Raw genomic sequence first — 16,724 nt, 5'->3', positions numbered from 1 at the left:
AATCTGTAGTTCTAACAATTCTACAGGAAATTAGTATATACACTAAAATTTGAGATCCACCAATGTAGCAGAATGAAGGCTGAACTTGGGAGTCAGAATACTTGAGTTTGGATAGCAGTTCTGCCACTGACTGGGTATGTGACCTTGAGCAAGTCATTTGCCCTCTCTGAGCCTTATTTTTCTTTCCTGCTAAATAGGAGGCCTTGCTTCTCAGGCTTGGCCTGAGGTCCTATGTGACTAGGGATGTGAAGGACTGTATAAAACTTCTGCATACGCATTTCTCATCTAATGTGCTTCAAAAGCACGCTCTGAGAGCAGAAGCAGTCTGCCTGGTTGCACACCCACTCAAAACTGCTGATCCCTGGTAAAGATACTTCCTCGGGCCACTGCCGTCCCTGGGAACCTGAAACCTGCTCCTCACCGCCTCAGCCTCTGCTGAGTGAAATGAGAGAGGTCAGCTTGCTTGTGCCTGGCTGCTTCCCAGGGTTACCATGCTGGCTGTGGAAAACTCAGAGACTCGGCCTGTGCTCTCAGAGTCAAGCTCAAGGGGGAGAGGCCGGGGCCTGCCTGAGCATCCATCCAGTGGGCTGGAGATGGTTTTCTGGGAGCTTCTATGCTTAAGCAGAAACCTGCAAGGGCTGAGGGTGTGAAGCCCTGGATTGTGGTCCCATCTCTGCTATAAGCTCATTGTGTGATGTTAGGCAAGTCTCAACTTGTCTCTGAGCCTCAGTTTCTCCAAATGTGAAATGAGATGTTGGATTAGAAGTTCTCTGAAAGAAGAAGCTGCAGCTCTTTCCTGCATAGAATCCATTCCCCCCTTCTTCTAACAACAGTTCTCCAATTTTCCTTTGGGAATTACTCCGCCCCTAGTCTCAGTTTATGGATTGGGATAGAGTTGACTCCAACCCCTGGCTGTAGAGGTGGATCTGTGACCAAATCAAGCCAATGAGAGTTGCAGTAATAGAAGCAGAGATGGGTGGATGGGCGCGGTGGCTCATGCCTGTAATCCCAGCACTTTGGGAGGCAGAGGCAGGTGGATCACCAGAGGTCAGGAGTTTGTCCAACATGGTGAAACCCCATCTCTATTAAAAATACAAAAAATTAGCCGGGCTTGGTGGCAGGCATCTGTAATCCCAGCTACTTGGGAGGCTGAGGCTGGAGAATTGCTTGAACCTGGGAGGTGGAGGTTGCAGTGAGCCGAGATTGCGCCATTGCACTCCAGCCTGGGTGACAGAGAGAGACTCTATCTCAAAAAAAAAAAAAAAAAAAAAAAAAAAAAGAAGTAGAGATGGGCATGTGATTCAATTCTGGCCAACGAGAGCCAGCCCTTGGTTTCTAGCTGGAAAAAAAGGCCTGCAGCAGCAAGGCAAACCCAAGAAATAGAGAAATGCAGACTCTCAGCCTTGGATTAAGCCTCGCCTGAAGCTGATATCTCAGGGATTTTCCAGTAACCTCCTTCTTCTGCTTGAGCCAGTTTTGAGTTGGATTTATTTCCCTTTAAACATCAAAGAGTCTTGCCCAGTGCAGAGGGAATTCTTATAAGGGATTGTGATTTGCACTCAAGTGCAAATGGCTGATGGCAAAGACCTCCCTGATACCAGGTTTTGGTAGAAGAGAAGGTAAGATGGTACTAGACCTATTAGAGTAGGTGAGGATGGGAGGAATATGGACCTCATTAAGCTGATGGCACTGAAGCCATGCCTTAAAAGGACCTGGTTATAGAGACTGGGTGCAGGGGCTCATGCCTGTAATCCCAGCACTTTTGGAGGCTGAGGTGGGAGGATTGCTTTGAGCCCAGGAGTACAAGGCTGGTCCTGACAACATATCGAGACCCTGTCTCTACCCAAAAAAATTAGCCAGGCATGGCGGCATGTGCCTGTATTCCCAGCTACTTGGGAGGCTGAGGTGGGAGGATCACTTGAGCCTGGGAGGTTGAGGCTACAATGAGTTGTAGTCATGCCACTGCACTCCAGCCTGGGTTACAGAGCAAGAATGTTTCAAAAAAAGAAGCACCTGGTATCTAATAGGCCCCCCATACACATTCGTGTAATGGATATATTATGTTCTACTCTCTATGGACCTCATCATACTTGGCTGAAGTCAACAGACCAGAATTATGAAGTTATTTTTCAGATAGGGAAATGGAAGCCCATGGGAGAGTGGGTCCCCCGGCTAGTCAGTGGTAGGTCAAACTGGCACTCAGCTCTCCTGCCTGTCATCATCCACTGAGGTCAGCCCCAGAGGCTGTGGGCGATGAAGGGGAAGGGGAGAATGAGGAACCCAAACAGAACTCTCAAGAAGGCAGACCGCTGGGGGCCCAGGGCTTAAGGCTGTTCAGTTACAGGAACTTTCCCTTCTCAGAACAGCTCAGCAATGGGGGTGGGGAAAAAGTATTTCCTCAACAGGAGCCAATTCCCTGAGCAGTGCCTTGGGGGTGCAGAGCCCAGCAGCTCCCTCTCCTCGGGTTCCCTGACTGTCTTCTGAATGAACTGTCTTTATCCCCGAGTGACTACTGTCCCTAATAGACAGTTAGGGGTCACTCCTGACTTCTCACGTCTTCCCTTTACTGAGCCTCAGCTTCTTTCTCATAGAGCTCAAAACTTTGATTTTGCAAACAGGAGGAAACTTGGGAGATCAAAATCTTCATTGGACAGGTGGAGTAACAACCCCAAGAGGCTGCGTGGGCCCTGGCTCACACGATGGCGAGCGACAGAGCAACACACTAAAGGAGAACTCAGGGCTTTGATCATTTGCCTGGCTGAGCCATAGGGCTGGCTCTGAGATGCCTGTGTTCCAAACACTTATTCAACCACATATAAAACTCATAGCATGTTCAATGTTACTCTTGGGACACTTGGTCAATTTCAGAATTCCAGAGCAACTGTGAACCTTCTTGGAATGATTTTATCTCTAAGGCAGGCAGGAGGCAGGGCAGTTTGAAAATAGAGCATGAGATTTGAAGTCAGATAGAGCTGGGTTTGAATCTGCATTCTGCCTCTTACAAATAAGTGAGCCTTTAAAAATGTAAGTCATCCTGGGCATGGTGGCTCACACCTGTAATCCCAGCACTTTGGGAGGCTGAAGCGGGCAGATCACCTGAGGTCAGGAGTTGGAGACCAGCCTGACCAACATGGTGAAACCCCATCTCTACTAAAAATACAAAAATTAGGCGGGCATGGTGGCGCATGCCTGTAATCCCAGCTACTTAGGAGGCTGAGGCAGGAGAATCGCTTGAACCCCAGAGTCAGAGGTTGCAGGGAGCCGAGGTCGCACCACTGCAGTCCAGCCTGGGCAACAGAGTGAGAGTCCGTCTCAAAAAAAAAAAAAAAAAAAAAGGTAAGTCAGATCGCATTCCTTCTCTGCTCAACCCCCACCCAGGGTTTCCGTCTCACTTGGAGTAAAAGCCCAAGTCCTCTCCAAGGTGGGTAAGACCTCCACAATCTGATCCCCTCCTCAGCCTCTCAGATCTGTCTCCTTCTAACTCTCCCTTGATCATTCCACTGGAGCCCTCCTTGCTCTTCTTCAACTCACCAACTGTGCTTATACCTCTGGGGCATTGCATGTTCTGTTTCTGGAATATTCTTCACCCAGAAAGGCTCCATCACTTCCTTCAGTCTCTCTAATGATTGTACCTTCTCAGAGCAACCTTCCCTCATCACCCTGGCAAAGACAGGATCCTCTGCCCCCCAACTCCCATCACTGTCTAGCCTGTTCCCAGCTAGTCTTCATGCCCCTAACCACCTCTTAAACGTGGTGGCCATGAGGATGCACCTCTCAGATCTCCAACTGCAGGAGTACGACTGGAGAAATTGATCAGCGGCTCAGCTGCTGTGCTCTGAAGTCCATCACTGCTCTCATGGGCTGCTCCCAGCCAATGACTGAGTGTGGCAGGGAGACCGAAGCCCACCCATGTCTGGGGGACCTCTGTCAAGAGACTTTGGCCAAGGGCTCCTTAACAGCCTTGACAAACTTTCCTTAGAATGGCACGGCAGCTGGGCGCAGTGGCTCACGCCTGTAATCCCAGCACTTTGGGAGGCCAAGGCGGGCGAATCACAAGGTCAGGAGTTCAAGACCAGCCTGGCCAACATGGTGAAACCCCGTCTCTACTAAAAATACAAAAATTAGCTGGGCGTGGTGGCGCATGCTTGTAATCCTAGCTACTCAGGAGGCTGAGGAAGGAGAATTGCTTGAACCCGGGAGGCGGAGGTTGCAGTGAGCCAAGACTGCGCCACTGCACTCCAGCCTGGGCAACAGAGCAAGACTCTGTCTCAAAAAAAACAAAATAAAACAGAACAACAACTACAAAAAAAAAATACGGCATGGCAGTCCAAGACACGTCCTCCTTTTATTCCTTTCTTCTTCCTTCCTTTCTTCCTTCCTTTTCTTTTTCATTAGTGGACAGAGGTACCCCACTATCTGATGGCTCTCCTGTCCTCTCCTGGTTTCTTCCCATTTTCTCTCATAGCCATTTCCTCCAATAAATTTCTTGCACATTTAATGCTATGGGAGTCTGCTTCTCAAAGGACTTGAACTATCTCAGGGTATGCTGAAGTTAAGTATGAAAAAGAAAAGAAAAAATAAAAAAGGACCTGGACTAATGCACCTAATGTATTACCTGTTGATTTGTTTATTATCCATCTGACCAATAGGATATGAGATATGACAGTAAGGTCCCCATTTAGTCTGCTGGATGCCCCCAGATTTCCCGTCTAAACAATAGCTATAAATAGGCCAGGTGCAATGGCTCATGCCTGCAATCCCAGCACTTTGGGAAGCTGAGGCAGGCGGATCACCTGAGGTCAGCAGGCGGATCACCTGATGTCAGGAGTTTGAGACAAGCCTGGCCAACATGGTGAAACCCTGTCTCAACCAAAAATACAAAAATTAGCTGGGCGTGGTAGTGGGTGCCTGTAATCCCAGCTACTTGGGAGGCTAAGGCAGGAGAATTGCTTGAACTCAAGAGGCAGAGGTTGCAGTGAGCCAAGATTGCCCCACTGCACTCCAGCCTGGGCAACAGAGTGAGATCCTGTCTCAAAACAAAAACAAACAAACAAAAAGAAAACCAATAGCTATAAATATATGTTTAAACTGAGAAGGGTGATGCACATTTGCTCGCTTCTGCTGGGAGAGGAGCAGTCTTTCCTTGGCTGCCGCTGAGTGGAAGTTTCCCCCTCCAGACAGGACATGGTGGCCAGTTCACCACCAGGGCCACTTTTCACTTTAACCTGCCGTGGTACTGAGAGATCAGCTGCCCCCAAACCTGTCCTCCACAAATGGAATCCTCAAAGCCTCAGTAACACAGGCGCTGATCCTTTTACATTTTTTTTATAATTGACAAAGCTCCAGGTCTCAGTTTCTTTTATTTTTTGAAGGGTATGTATTTTATTTTTAAAATGACCTTTTACCACCTAGTAAAACATTAGTGCATCCTTCTTGTTAAAAATTAAACCATTAGAGGCCAGGTATGGTGGCTCACATCTGTAATACCAGCACTTTGAGAGGTCAAGACAGGAGGATCGTTTGAGCCGAGGAATTTAAGACCAGCCTGGGCAACATGGCAAGACCCCATTTCTACCAGAATTTTTTTTTATTAGCTGGGTGTGGTGGCATGTGCCTGTGATCCCAGCTACTCAGGAGGCTGAGGTGGGAGGATCGCTTGAGCGCAGGAGGTTGGGGCTGCATGAGCCATGATAGCATCACTGCACTCCAGCCTGGGAGACAGAGCGAGACCCTGTCTCAAAAAGAAAAAGAAAAAAAAAAGAGAGAGAGAGAGAGAAGCAAGAAAGAAGAAGAAGGAGGAGGAGGAGGAAGGGAAAGAAGAAAGAAAGAAAGAAAGAAAAAAGAAAGAAAGAGAGAGAGAGAAAGAAGAAAGGAAGGAAGAGAAGAAGAAAGTGGAGGAGGAGGAAGAGGAGGAGGAGAAGGGGGGAAGGAAAGAAGGGAAAGAAGAAAGAAAAGAAAAGAAAGGAGGGAGGGAGGGAAGGAAGGAAGGAAGATTAAAACATTACAGATACATTTAAGACACTCTTGGATTACTCATTCTATAAGCCCTCCATGGCCACCTCTTTCCCCACCCAGATATCCTCTGCCAGCATTTGGCCTCAGCCTCTGCCTCTGCATTTACACACATGTATGTTGAAGCAGAGGCTGTCAGTGCCCTGCCTCTATCACTCTGCCCTTTACCATTTCTGCACATTCTGGCTGGACTTCCAGCTGCCGGCACCTTCATCTCTTTGTCTGAGAGATTTCTCTGTGGCTATTGGTGCCTGCTCTGCCCATGGGCTTGGCAAGCCGAAAGTGCTAGAGAATTATCACATCCCCAGGAGTAGTTTTCAACAAAAGACAGGAGCGAGAACAGGGTGGACAAATACCCCGGTTCCCTCACCTCTCAAGCCTGTTCTACCCTGGCTCCCAGAGCTCCTCAGTGGGATTGAGCTCCAGGTGCCCGCAGTGGTAACTGGGCTTAGAAGACACCTTTAATGACTACCTCCTGTTCCCTGCCTCACTTCCTTACTCCCCTAGGAGGGTCTCTGGAATCAGCTCTCAAACTATTTGCATTTGAAACCTTGCCTAGGGTCTGCTTCTGGAGAAACTCAAACTAAGACATATACGCCATGATGGACTAGTGTGTGTATGTGTGTGTGTGTGTGTGTGTGTGTGTGTGTGTGTTTTGACATAAAAGGAATTGTGCTGCAGGAATCATGAGTAGTATCCTCCTCAGTTCTCCCCCTTTTTTTTTTTTTTGACAGAGTCTTGCTGTTGTCAGCCCAGGCTGGAGTGCAGTGGCAAGACCTTGGCTCACTGCAACCGTGCCTCCCGGGTTCCAGCAATTCTCCTGCCTCGGCTTCCCAAGTAGCTGAAATTACAGGCGCCCGCCACCACGCCCGGCTAATTTTTGCATTTTTAGTAGAGACGGGGTTTCACCATGTTGGCCAGGCTGGTCTTGAACTCCTGACCTCAGGTGATCCACCTGCTTTGTCCTCCCAAAGTGCTGGGATTACAGGTGTGAGCCACCGTGCCCAGCCTCAGTTCCATTTTTTTTTTGGATTTGGGAACTGAGGCTCAGAAAGGGAAGAGATTTGCCTAGTGCATCACAACCTGTCTTTGGCAGAGCTGGCACTCAGACTCGGGGTCGTCTACTGTACTGTACCCACTGTTCTTCATTTCTATGGTAGAGATGAGGCTGGGATTCCTGTTCTCTTGGCTGCACTTACATCTCCTGGGCCAAAGGATTTCAGGGTGATGCCTGGAACTCAGGGAGGTGACTCGAAGGGAGAGTCAGGAGCGCACGTCCTAGCGCAGTGCCATCCAGAGGATGCAGCATGTGGGACCACAGCCGGGGCCAAGACCAGGGCACATTTACACTTAAGCACAGGCTGCTTCTGCATCATTACCCACGCCTCTGAAAGTACCTTCAAACTCCCAGTCCTGTGGGGGAGGAAACTGGAGAAATGGGGTGGGGACCAACATGTGGTTGGTGCATGTGGTGGGGTTTGTTTAGAAAGGCAGAAGTGATTGCTTGATGACTTGTGGTATAAAAAAAGAAAAATAAACAACAACAAAAAGATGTAAGAAAGAAAGAGGCTGAGAGAGATTGTGCTACTAACTTGCTGTGTGACTTTGGGAAAGTCAATTACCCTCTCTAGGCTTCACATTCCTTTTCTTTTCTTTTTATGAGACAGGGTCTTGCTCTGTCACCCAGGCTGGAGTACAGTGGTGCAGTCTCAGATCACTGCAACCTTCACCTTCTGTGCTCAGACGATCCTCCCACCTCAGCCTCCTGAGTAGCTGGTACTACAGCCATGTGCCACCACACCCAGCTAATTTTTGTACTTTTTGTAGAGACAGGGTTTTGCCATGTTACCCAGGCTGGTCTCGAACTCCTGAGCTCAGATGATCTGCCTGTCTCGGCCTCCCAAAGTGCTGGGATTACAGGGTGAGCCACCGCACCCAGCCCTTCATGTTCCTTTTCTATAAAAAAGGAAGCCTTGTCATGACCCGAAGGGTGGGGTTTGAAAACTCAAATGACTATAGGGATGTGGAGGGTTCTGCGGATGAGGAAAGTGGGCCTGGCAAGGGCTGTGCAAGCTGGACAGCCCAGGTGTAGCCCCCAGGGCAGCCCCCAGCTCCACTGAGGTTGTCTGAAGAGCACTGGAGTCGTGGGTTCTAGTCTCAGGGCTGCTAACTCTTCTAATGTTTTAGGAGACAGAAATCCAGATTATGTGAGCTCTCCTGAGTTTAAATGTTAGCAACTAATTAAAAATAATCGCTGCGGGTGGAGGGGTGTTCGGGGAGGGCAGCTGAAATATCTCAGGCAAGGGAGGGAGGAGGTTGTCCAACATTCATTGCGTTTGTCCCATCAGTGTTTTTTTGAGGCCCTACTATGTGCCAGGTGCCAGGTGTTAGAAGATACAGTGGTTTATAGGACAAACATGTTTGTGCTCTTGTAGAATTTACTTTCTAGAAGAGTTTAAAGTCCAAGCCCTGGCTAGTCCTTAGAATGTAGACAACTTTCTCCTTACTTTCTGAGGTAAGAGCCCTCAGAGGGCAGCCTGGTTTGAATGAGATTAAGATTCGTGCTTTCTGTACCCATTAGAATGGTAATAATAATACTAATAAAATATAAACATAGTAGGCATTGGCAAGGATGTGAAGCCAATTGAAACCCTTGTATATTACGGTGGGAATGTAAAATGGTGGAAAACAGCATAGCAGTTCCTCAAAAAGTTAAAGATAGAACTACTGTTTTTTTTTTTTCTGAGAAGGAGTCTCGCTCTGTCGCCCAGGCTAGAGTGCAGTGGCTCGATCTCGGCTCACTGCAAGCTCCGCCTCCCGGGTTCATGCCATTCTCCTGCCTCAGCCTCCCGAGTAGCTGGGACTACAGGCGCCCACCACAATGCCCGGCTAATTTTTTTGTATTTTTTTAGTAGAGACGAGGTTTCACCGTGTTAACCGGGATGATCTCCATCTCCTGACCTCGTGATCCGCCCGCCTCAGCCTCCCAGAGTGCTGGGATTACAGGCGTGAGCCACCGCACCCGGCCACAGAGATAGAACTTTTATATGACCCAGTAACTCTACTTCAGGTATATACCCAAAGGAATTGAAAACAGGTGCTCAAACAAATACATGTATGCACATGCATGCTCATAGCAGTATTATTTTCAATGGTCAAAATGTGGAAACAACCTGAATTTCCATCTGTGGATAAATGGGTAAATAAACTGTGGAATATCCATACAATGGAATATTATTTGGCCACAAAGGGAATAAAGTACTAATAGTTGCCACCATGTGGATGAACCTTGGAAAACATTATGTTAAGTGGAAGAAGCTAGACACAGAAAGTCACATAGTATGCTTCTATTTATGTTAAATATCCTGAATAAATTAGTCCGTAGAGGCAAAAAGCAGATTGGTGGTTGCCAGGGGCCGGGGGAATGGGGGGTAATTGCTTAATGGGTACAAAGTTTCCTTTTTCAGGGGTGATGGAAATGTTTAGGAGCTACTGACAGGTAGTGTTTGTACAACATTGTGAATATACCAAATACCACTGAATTGTTCGCTTTAAAAATCATATAGTTAATTTTATAAAGTTATGTGAATTTCACCTCGATTAAAATATTTCTAAAAATTTTGAACTATATAAAAGATTGCTCTGCTAGAAAGGTTAAGCAAATTATAATACAGGCAAACAGTGGAATATTATGCAGCCACTAAAAATTTAAGAACATTTTAATGACCTGGAAAATGCTACAATGTAATACTAAGCAAATAAATAGGATAAAAATAATCTATGTGTAGCATTATACTAATTATGTTAATTTAAAAGTGCATAGAAAAGACTACATAAAGATACATGAAAATATTGGTTATTGTTCCCTCAAAAGGTTCATGCTTCCATTTTCTTGAACACTTATTAAGTGCCAGGCATAGTGAGTAAGGCAAGTGAAGTGCCTTACAGCAGAGAACATGAGGCCTGAAAGAAAGGCCATTGATCCAGAGACGGCTGGGAGATCAGCAGAGCAACATTCTTCTCTCTTCTCTGCCCCAGAGTCCCTGGTGACCCTTCTGGGCTACAGTACTCCTCTCACACAAAGGGGAGTGTGACAGGTGCCCTCTCTGGGGAGCCATCCAGCCTTTTGGTGTTTTCCTCAAGAACCACCTGTACATGGGCCGAAAGCTACACATCCAGGATGCTCCTGTCAATATTGTTCGTTGTAGTGAACGCCTAGGAACAACTTGAGTATTTATCCACAGGGGAAAGAGAAATACTGTAGAGTCGTTACCTGCTGGGATACTCCACAGCAGCTGGAAGGAATGAATGAGGCCTCTATTTTCTATTTCTCATCCTGGGTAGATTTTGACAACTTAATGATAAGATGGGGCAAATATGCTCCTCTGCTATCCCCATTGTCAGAATTGCAGAAAAGTCTCACAATTAGATAGTTTTTTGTTTTGTTTTGTTTTGAGACGGAGTCTCGCTCTGTGGCCCAGGCTAGAGTGCAGTGGCACGATCTCGGCTCACTGCAAGCTCCACCTCCAGGGTTCACGCCATTCTCCTGCCTCAGCCTCCCCAGTAGCTGGGACTACAGGCGCCCGCCACCATGCCCGGCTAATTTTTTGTATTTTTAGTAGAGACGGGGTTTCCCCGTGTTAGCCAGGATGGTCTCGATCTCCTGACCTCGTGATCCGCCCGGCTCAGCCTCCCAAAGTGCTGGGATTACAGGCGTGAGCCCCCGCGTCCGGGCTTTTTTTTTTTTTTTTTTTTTTTTTTTTTTTTTTTTTTTTTTTTTTTTTAGGTGGAGTTTCGCTTTTGTTGTCCAGGCTGGAGTGCAATGGCGCGATCTCGGCTCACTGCGACTTCTGCTTCCCCGGGTTCAAGCGATTCTCCTGCCTCAGCCTCCCGAGTAGCTGGGATTACAGGCATGAACCACTGCATAGATAGCATTTTTAAAGCACACAAAACAATCCTACGTGTTGTTTATGCGTACATTTATATGCAATCCATTTTCAGAGGCACATCCTGGAAGGACTGTAACTCATGACAGCGGTTGCCCCTGGGGAGGGAGAGAAACAGGACTGAGAGTGATACAAGGTGGGGAGACTTCAATTTTTTCTGTTACTTTTAGTAAATTAATTTTTTAAAATCTCAAAACAAACACAACAAAATGCTATTATTTGTTAATTCTGGATGGTGGATTCTCGGGACATCTAATATATTATTATCTTCACTTTTCTGTATTTTAACCTGTCACCCCCTCCCCTAAAAAAAAAAGGACCATAAAGAGAAAACCATGGGATAAGGCAACTGATAGGCATTGAGGCCTTTCTCTGTGCCAGGCATAGGCTACCCCAGTGGTTCTCAAAGTGTCCTCCTTGGATCAGCAGCAGCAGCATCACCGGGGATGGAAGTTCTCATTGTCCTGCACAGAGCTACTGAATCAGAAACTCTAGGATTCGGCCCAGCAATCTGTTTTCACAAGCAGTCCAGGTGATGCTGATGTAGGCTAAAGTCTGAGAACACGGGGCCATATGTCTAGCTAGGGCAATGTTAACATACATTAAGCCTGTGTACTGTCAGACAGCATTCTCAAAGCTTTCCTTCAGTAACTTTTTTTTTTTTTTTTTTTTTTTTGAGACAGAGTCTCTCTCTGTCGCCCAGGCTGGAGTGCAGTGGCGCGATCTCGGCTCACCGCAACCTCCACCTCCCAGGTTCAAGTGATTCTCGTGCCTCAGCCTCCCGAGTAGCTGGGATTAAAGGTGTGTGCTACTACGCCCGGCTAATTTTTGTACTTTTAGTAGAGACGGGGTTTCACCATGTTGGCCAGGCTGGTCTCAAACTCTAGACCTCAAGAGATCCACCTGCCTCGGCCTCCCAAAAAGCTGAGATTACAGGCGTGTGCCACCCTGCCCGGCCCCTTCAGTACCCAATTAATCCTCTAAACAACCCTGTGAAGGAGGTACTATTACTCTCCCCATCCTGCAGTTGTGAAAACAGAGGCAAAGAAAGGCCAAATCCTCTACCCCAGCCCCAACAGGCAGTTTGCCCCTAGAAGCCCCCTCCGCTACCCACTAGCCTGTCTCTCACACGCACCACCTCTCGCATACTCCAATTTCCTGCATCCTTGCAAGAAAGACTTCATAGCCCCGTTTTACAGATGAGGAAACGAATTCGGAGGCGGAGAATTCGTCCAAGGAGGAAAGAGACAGGGCATGCATGCAGTGTGGTCTGGGGCCAGGAGGTTTGGGGGTTTGACCTAGACCTGTTGTGGGAGGAGGGGCAGAGAGCCGACCAGCTGCAGCCGGCCTGGGTGTGGCTCGCACGTCACGCCTCCGCCCAACTACCCCCTTCCCCAAGCTGGCTGCCAACCCGGCGTGACCCGGCCCCCACCGGGAACCGTAAGGGCCTTCCCCTTCCCGGGTTCTGTGAAGCCCCATCCCTTCCTTCTTTTTCTTTTTTAAATTAAAAAAAAAATCCCCGCCCCCCCCCAAGAAGGGGAACCTGGACGGCCCAGAGAAGTGGTGGATAAAGTCACTGCACGGGCCCGAGCGTCCCCTTCCCCGGGAATCCAGCAGTCCGCAACAGTGCCGCCCCTCCCTAGGGCACCCTCCACTCGCTGTCGACCCCTCATCCCCCGGGCTACCCGCGGCTCCCCCGACGTTCCGTCTCCCCTCGCTGCCCCCAGCCGCACCCGTAGCCAGCCCTCCCCAGGCTCCTGGGCTCCCTCCGCCTCCTGGGACCCCTCGCGGGCCGGGTATTCCCGGTCCCCTGTGCGCGGCACTCACCTGGGCGCCCGCTCCTCGTCTCGCGGGCAGCCCGGATCCTCGCAGCTTGAGCGCCCCCCCAGCTCGGCAGCCCCTGAGGTTCCGGGGTGCCAGTGCCGGGAAACTGACTTTCTAGAACTAGAGGCGGGGGCGACGCTCTGAGGGGCTTTGGTGCCGCGGGCGTTTCTCGTCCTGCACTGTCTGAGTCCCTTCCCACTCGCCTCTAAGCCTCTGATGTGCTCCCGAGCTGGGACCAGGGACGTGGTGGCGCCCGCAGGCCATCTGGGCGCCTTAGCCGCGCCCTGAGCGAGGCTAACTCCGCCCCAAGTGTCCTAACACCTCCCCGAAGATTCAGACGCCACCCCAGGATCCTAACCGGCTCCCCGAGGGTCATAACCTCCGTCTCCTGCAAGAAGGATCCCAAACCCTCCACGAAGAGAAAAAAAATATTAGCACCATCCATAGGAGGCTTCTAACGCGTCCACCAAGGATGCGAACCCCCATCCCTTCCGCTCCACTTTCCCTAACACCTCCCCATCCCACCGCCCAGCGTCCTACCCCAGTCTCCAAAGGATCCCAAATCCCACTCCTAGGGATTCGAACCCGCCCGTCTAAGAACCCCAGCACCCGCTCCAAGGCTCCCAAGATACTAACCCCGCCCCGCCAAAGGATTTTTAATCCCACCTCTGAAGGATTTTTAAACTCAACTTGCCCCCAAAGATTCTAATCTGCCCAGTGGAAGGATCCGAACTCTCACTTCAGTGGATTCTAACCCTGCCCTAAGATTTAGAACACAAACCCCAGGGTTCCAATACCGCTCCTGCTCCTGCGCGATCTAACCTCCCGCCGCCTAAGAGTTTTAATACCCAGGGGTCTATACCGCCGGTCCAAAGATTCCAACCCTGCCCTTCAGAGATCCTAACCCCACCTATCAAGGGATTCCTGCCACAGTCTTCAAAGATTCCAACCCACCCTGGAAAGGCCTTACCCTACCCCGGAAGCATCGTGATCTCTTTTCCCCACCACTCCGACCCCTCCCTTCTGGCCCGGCCCTCCCCAACTCCGCGGCCCGAGACTTCCAGGCAGGTCTGTGGTCAGCGGTTTCTCTTCCGCAGGCCTGCTCCATTCAGACACCATGCAAAGTTCCTCTCTCGAAGGAACCACCATGGCCATGCAAAGTTCCCTGCCCGAAGGAACCACCCTGGCTTCCTGGCAGCTCAGAGGACTCCCAAGCTGGGGGAGGTGGTCGGGGGAGGGGAGGAGTCGGGCTGGAGGGTGACTGAGGCCCCAAGTGGATGGGATTGTGCCCAGCTCCAGGCAAGGGCAGAACACACCCTCTCCTGGAAAAGACAGGGGCTATCACCCTAAATGCTGTGTAACACACCTCCAAAATCTCCAAAACTACAAGAATTCTACCGCGTCTCTCTATTCCCGTTGCTACCAGCTGATCAGGACCACAGTCATTTCTTCATTCATTCATTCATAATTCATTCAGCAAAGCTGTCCTGGGGGCTGGGGAATGCAGGGGTTCTTAAATTTGGCACTATTGACATTTGGGCCAGGTAATTCTTTGTTGCGGGGGACTGTCCTGTGAATGATAGGATGTTTAACAGCATTCCTGGGCTCTACCCACTAGTTGTCTATAGCATCCTCCTCCCTAGTTGTGACAACAAAATGTCTCCAGACATTTGTAAAATGTCCCCTGGTGGGGAAGGGGGGAAGAACCATGAATGAGAAAGACAATGACCCTACTCTTATGTTTTTGGTATATGTACCTGTATGGGCCTTTTTTCCTTCTCTTTAGCCTACAGTGCTAACTATTTTGAGGGGGTCTCCCATCCAAGTACTAACCAGGCTTGATCCTGCTTAGCTTCCAAGATCAGACAAGATCAGATGTGTTCGGTGTGGTATGGCATAGACAACTTAAAAAAAAATAGAGATGGGGTCTTGCTGTATTGCCCAGGCTAGTCTTGAACTCCGGGGCTCAACTGAACCTCCTGCCTTGGCCTCCCAAAGTACTGGGATTATAGGTGTGAGTCATTGCACCTAGTCTGTATGTGCTTTTTATAAAAACAGATAATGTTCTGAATGTATGTTTAATGTTACTTATTCACTTTTGTACATTCCCTCCCGCCACCCCCATCACTGTTGTTAATATCCAGCCATGTTGCCAAAGGTAGCGGCTGTACGTGTAGTCACTGTTTACATCCTTCACATTTTATTTATCCATTCTCCTAGTCATGGACACCTAGATTGCACACAATTTCCCACTAGTGTAAATAGTGCCACAGTGGACATCCTCATACACGTCCCCTTATCGTCCTACATTAGAATTTTGTTAAGTACTTGCTTTGCCAAGAATGACAGGTGTTTGCAGAATCGCCACTGCCCCACTCTTTCTCCCATCATTTCCCCTTATCTTTACCAACCCTTGGTATTATCCACTGGTCTTAATTTGAGTTCCCCAGAAGCAGACCCTGGACATGGATCCAAGTGAAAATAGTTTATTTAGGAGATGCAGAAGACACTGGTAGGGGAGTAGGTGGATGAGACAGGGAAGGGAGGGAAGCCAGTAAAAAGGAATATCATGAAGCCAGTTACCATTGTGGGCAACTGGAGTTCAATTCTGCAGGGATCTCTGGAGATATACCCACTTCAGGGTTACTCCACCTGTCAGGCGAGGGAGCTGGGGCATTTACACACCAACTCCTGTTGGACACCGGATGAGGGGTACTCCAGGGGTACTGACCTTCCAGCATTTTGGCCTCCCTGGTGCATGCTTCAGCCACCAGAGGGTCTCCAGGAAGAGAAGTGCAGCTCTTACTTAAGGCCCAGGGGGCATCGGAGGGTCCGCATTAGCATCAGCTACATCTCCTTTCAAAAGTTTGCCATTCTGATAGTAAAGAGCCAGAGAGCTGACACATGTTCCTGTTCATGGACAGTTTCCCAAATGTTTTGTCCTGACAGTAATGCTGTAATTGAAATCCTTGTGTATGTTCCCAAAGCTTCTGTCAACTTTATCGTGACATAATTTCGTGAATAAAATCTACCATCATAAATATTCAGCTTGATGAGTTTTGGCAAATATATATACCTGTGTAACCACCACCCCAATCAAGATATAGAACATTTCTATCACCCCAAAAAGTTCCCTTATGTCCTATTGCAGTCAACTCCTCCCACACTTAGGTAGCCTTAGGTAAGCACCAATTGGCTTTTTGCCATTATACATTAGCTTTGTCTTTTCTAGAATTTCTCATAAATGCAGTCATACAGTATGTTTCTTTTGTGTTTGTCTTCTTTTACTCAGAGATTTTCCATGTTGTTGCATGTTCCAGTAGTTCGTTCATTTTTACTGCTGAGTAGTATTCCATAGTATAGATGTAACACTATTTGTTTATCCATTTATTTGTTGAGAGACATTTGGGTTGTTTTCAATTTGGGGCTATATAAATAAAGCTGCTATAAATATTTATGTACAAGTTTTTGTGTAGGCATATTTTTATTTCTCTCGGGTAAATACTTAGGATTGGAATTGCTGGGTCATATAGCAAGTGTGTGTCTAACTTGCAATAAATTGCTGAATTGTTTTTCTTTTTTTTTTTTTTTTGAGGCAGGGTCTTGCTCTGTCACCCAGGCTGGAGTGCAATGGCGAGATCTTGGCTCATTTTAACCTCTGTCTCCTGAGCTCAAGTGATCCTCCCACCTCAGCCTCTGAGTAGCTGGGACTACAGGTACACCACCATGCCCAGCTTATTTTTTTTTTTTTTGTAGAGATACAGTCTCACCGTGTTGCCCAGGCTGGTCTTGAACTCCTGTGCTCAAGCCATCTGCCTGCCTCAGCCTCCCAAAGTGCTGGGATTACAGGTGTGAGCCTTTGTGCCTGGTCTAAATTGGTTTTTGAAGTGGTTACACCATTTTGCATTCCCTCCAGTGATTTATGATTTCCAATTGCTCCAC

The 16,724-nt window shown here is 48.4% G+C and overlaps 1 protein-coding gene and 1 pseudogene across 6 annotated transcripts in view, besides 6 other annotated features; both read right to left on the bottom strand.

The window, feature by feature from the left end:
• The window catches only part of HCK (HCK proto-oncogene, Src family tyrosine kinase), a 49,615-nt gene extending 36,585 nt beyond the window's left edge, over positions 1–13,030 (bottom strand). For 5 of the 6 annotated variants that reach the window (NM_001172133.3, NM_002110.5, NM_001172129.3 and 2 more), the window contains exon 1: positions 12,786–13,030. Coding sequence is in view for 3 of the 6 variants with exons in the window: in NM_002110.5 (NP_002101.2) it covers positions 12,786–12,847 (62 nt within the window). In the remaining 3 variants the exon portion in view is untranslated. Of the gene's footprint in view, positions 1–10,990; positions 11,057–12,785 lie in introns of all 6 variants that reach the window. The other variant, NM_001172132.3, reaches the window with a different exon arrangement.
• Positions 315–364: a silencer, noted in NCBI's record as "silent region_12775". NCBI's record gives its function as "represses an Ori minimal core promoter by ATAC-STARR-seq in GM12878 lymphoblastoid cells {active_cell/tissue: GM12878}" and the evidence as "EXISTENCE:reporter gene assay evidence [ECO:0000049][PMID:35858748]".
• Positions 625–704: an enhancer, noted in NCBI's record as "active region_17709". NCBI's record gives its function as "activates an Ori minimal core promoter by ATAC-STARR-seq in GM12878 lymphoblastoid cells {active_cell/tissue: GM12878}" and the evidence as "EXISTENCE:reporter gene assay evidence [ECO:0000049][PMID:35858748]".
• Positions 2,634–2,703: an enhancer, noted in NCBI's record as "active region_17708". NCBI's record gives its function as "activates an Ori minimal core promoter by ATAC-STARR-seq in GM12878 lymphoblastoid cells {active_cell/tissue: GM12878}" and the evidence as "EXISTENCE:reporter gene assay evidence [ECO:0000049][PMID:35858748]".
• Positions 7,414–7,503: an enhancer, noted in NCBI's record as "active region_17707". NCBI's record gives its function as "activates an Ori minimal core promoter by ATAC-STARR-seq in GM12878 lymphoblastoid cells {active_cell/tissue: GM12878}" and the evidence as "EXISTENCE:reporter gene assay evidence [ECO:0000049][PMID:35858748]".
• Positions 11,358–11,557: a silencer, noted in NCBI's record as "fragment chr20:30641518-30641717 (GRCh37/hg19 assembly coordinates)". NCBI's record gives its function as "represses an EF-1alpha promoter that drives an FKBP-Casp9 reporter gene in an ReSE screen in phorbol 12-myristate 13-acetate-treated (for megakaryocytic differentiation) K562 erythroleukemia cells {active_cell/tissue: K562(+PMA)}" and the evidence as "EXISTENCE:reporter gene assay evidence [ECO:0000049][PMID:32094911]".
• Positions 12,611–12,670: a silencer, noted in NCBI's record as "silent region_12774". NCBI's record gives its function as "represses an Ori minimal core promoter by ATAC-STARR-seq in GM12878 lymphoblastoid cells {active_cell/tissue: GM12878}" and the evidence as "EXISTENCE:reporter gene assay evidence [ECO:0000049][PMID:35858748]".
• Positions 14,567–14,684, bottom strand: RNA5SP482 (RNA, 5S ribosomal pseudogene 482; annotated as a pseudogene).

The sequence above is a fragment of the Homo sapiens genome, chromosome 20 (assembly GCF_000001405.40).
Source record: "Homo sapiens chromosome 20, GRCh38.p14 Primary Assembly".
Lineage (NCBI taxonomy): Eukaryota > Metazoa > Chordata > Mammalia > Primates > Hominidae > Homo > Homo sapiens.
Note: the sequence above shows the minus strand (reverse complement) of the source record. Positions and strands in the feature narration are given on the sequence as shown.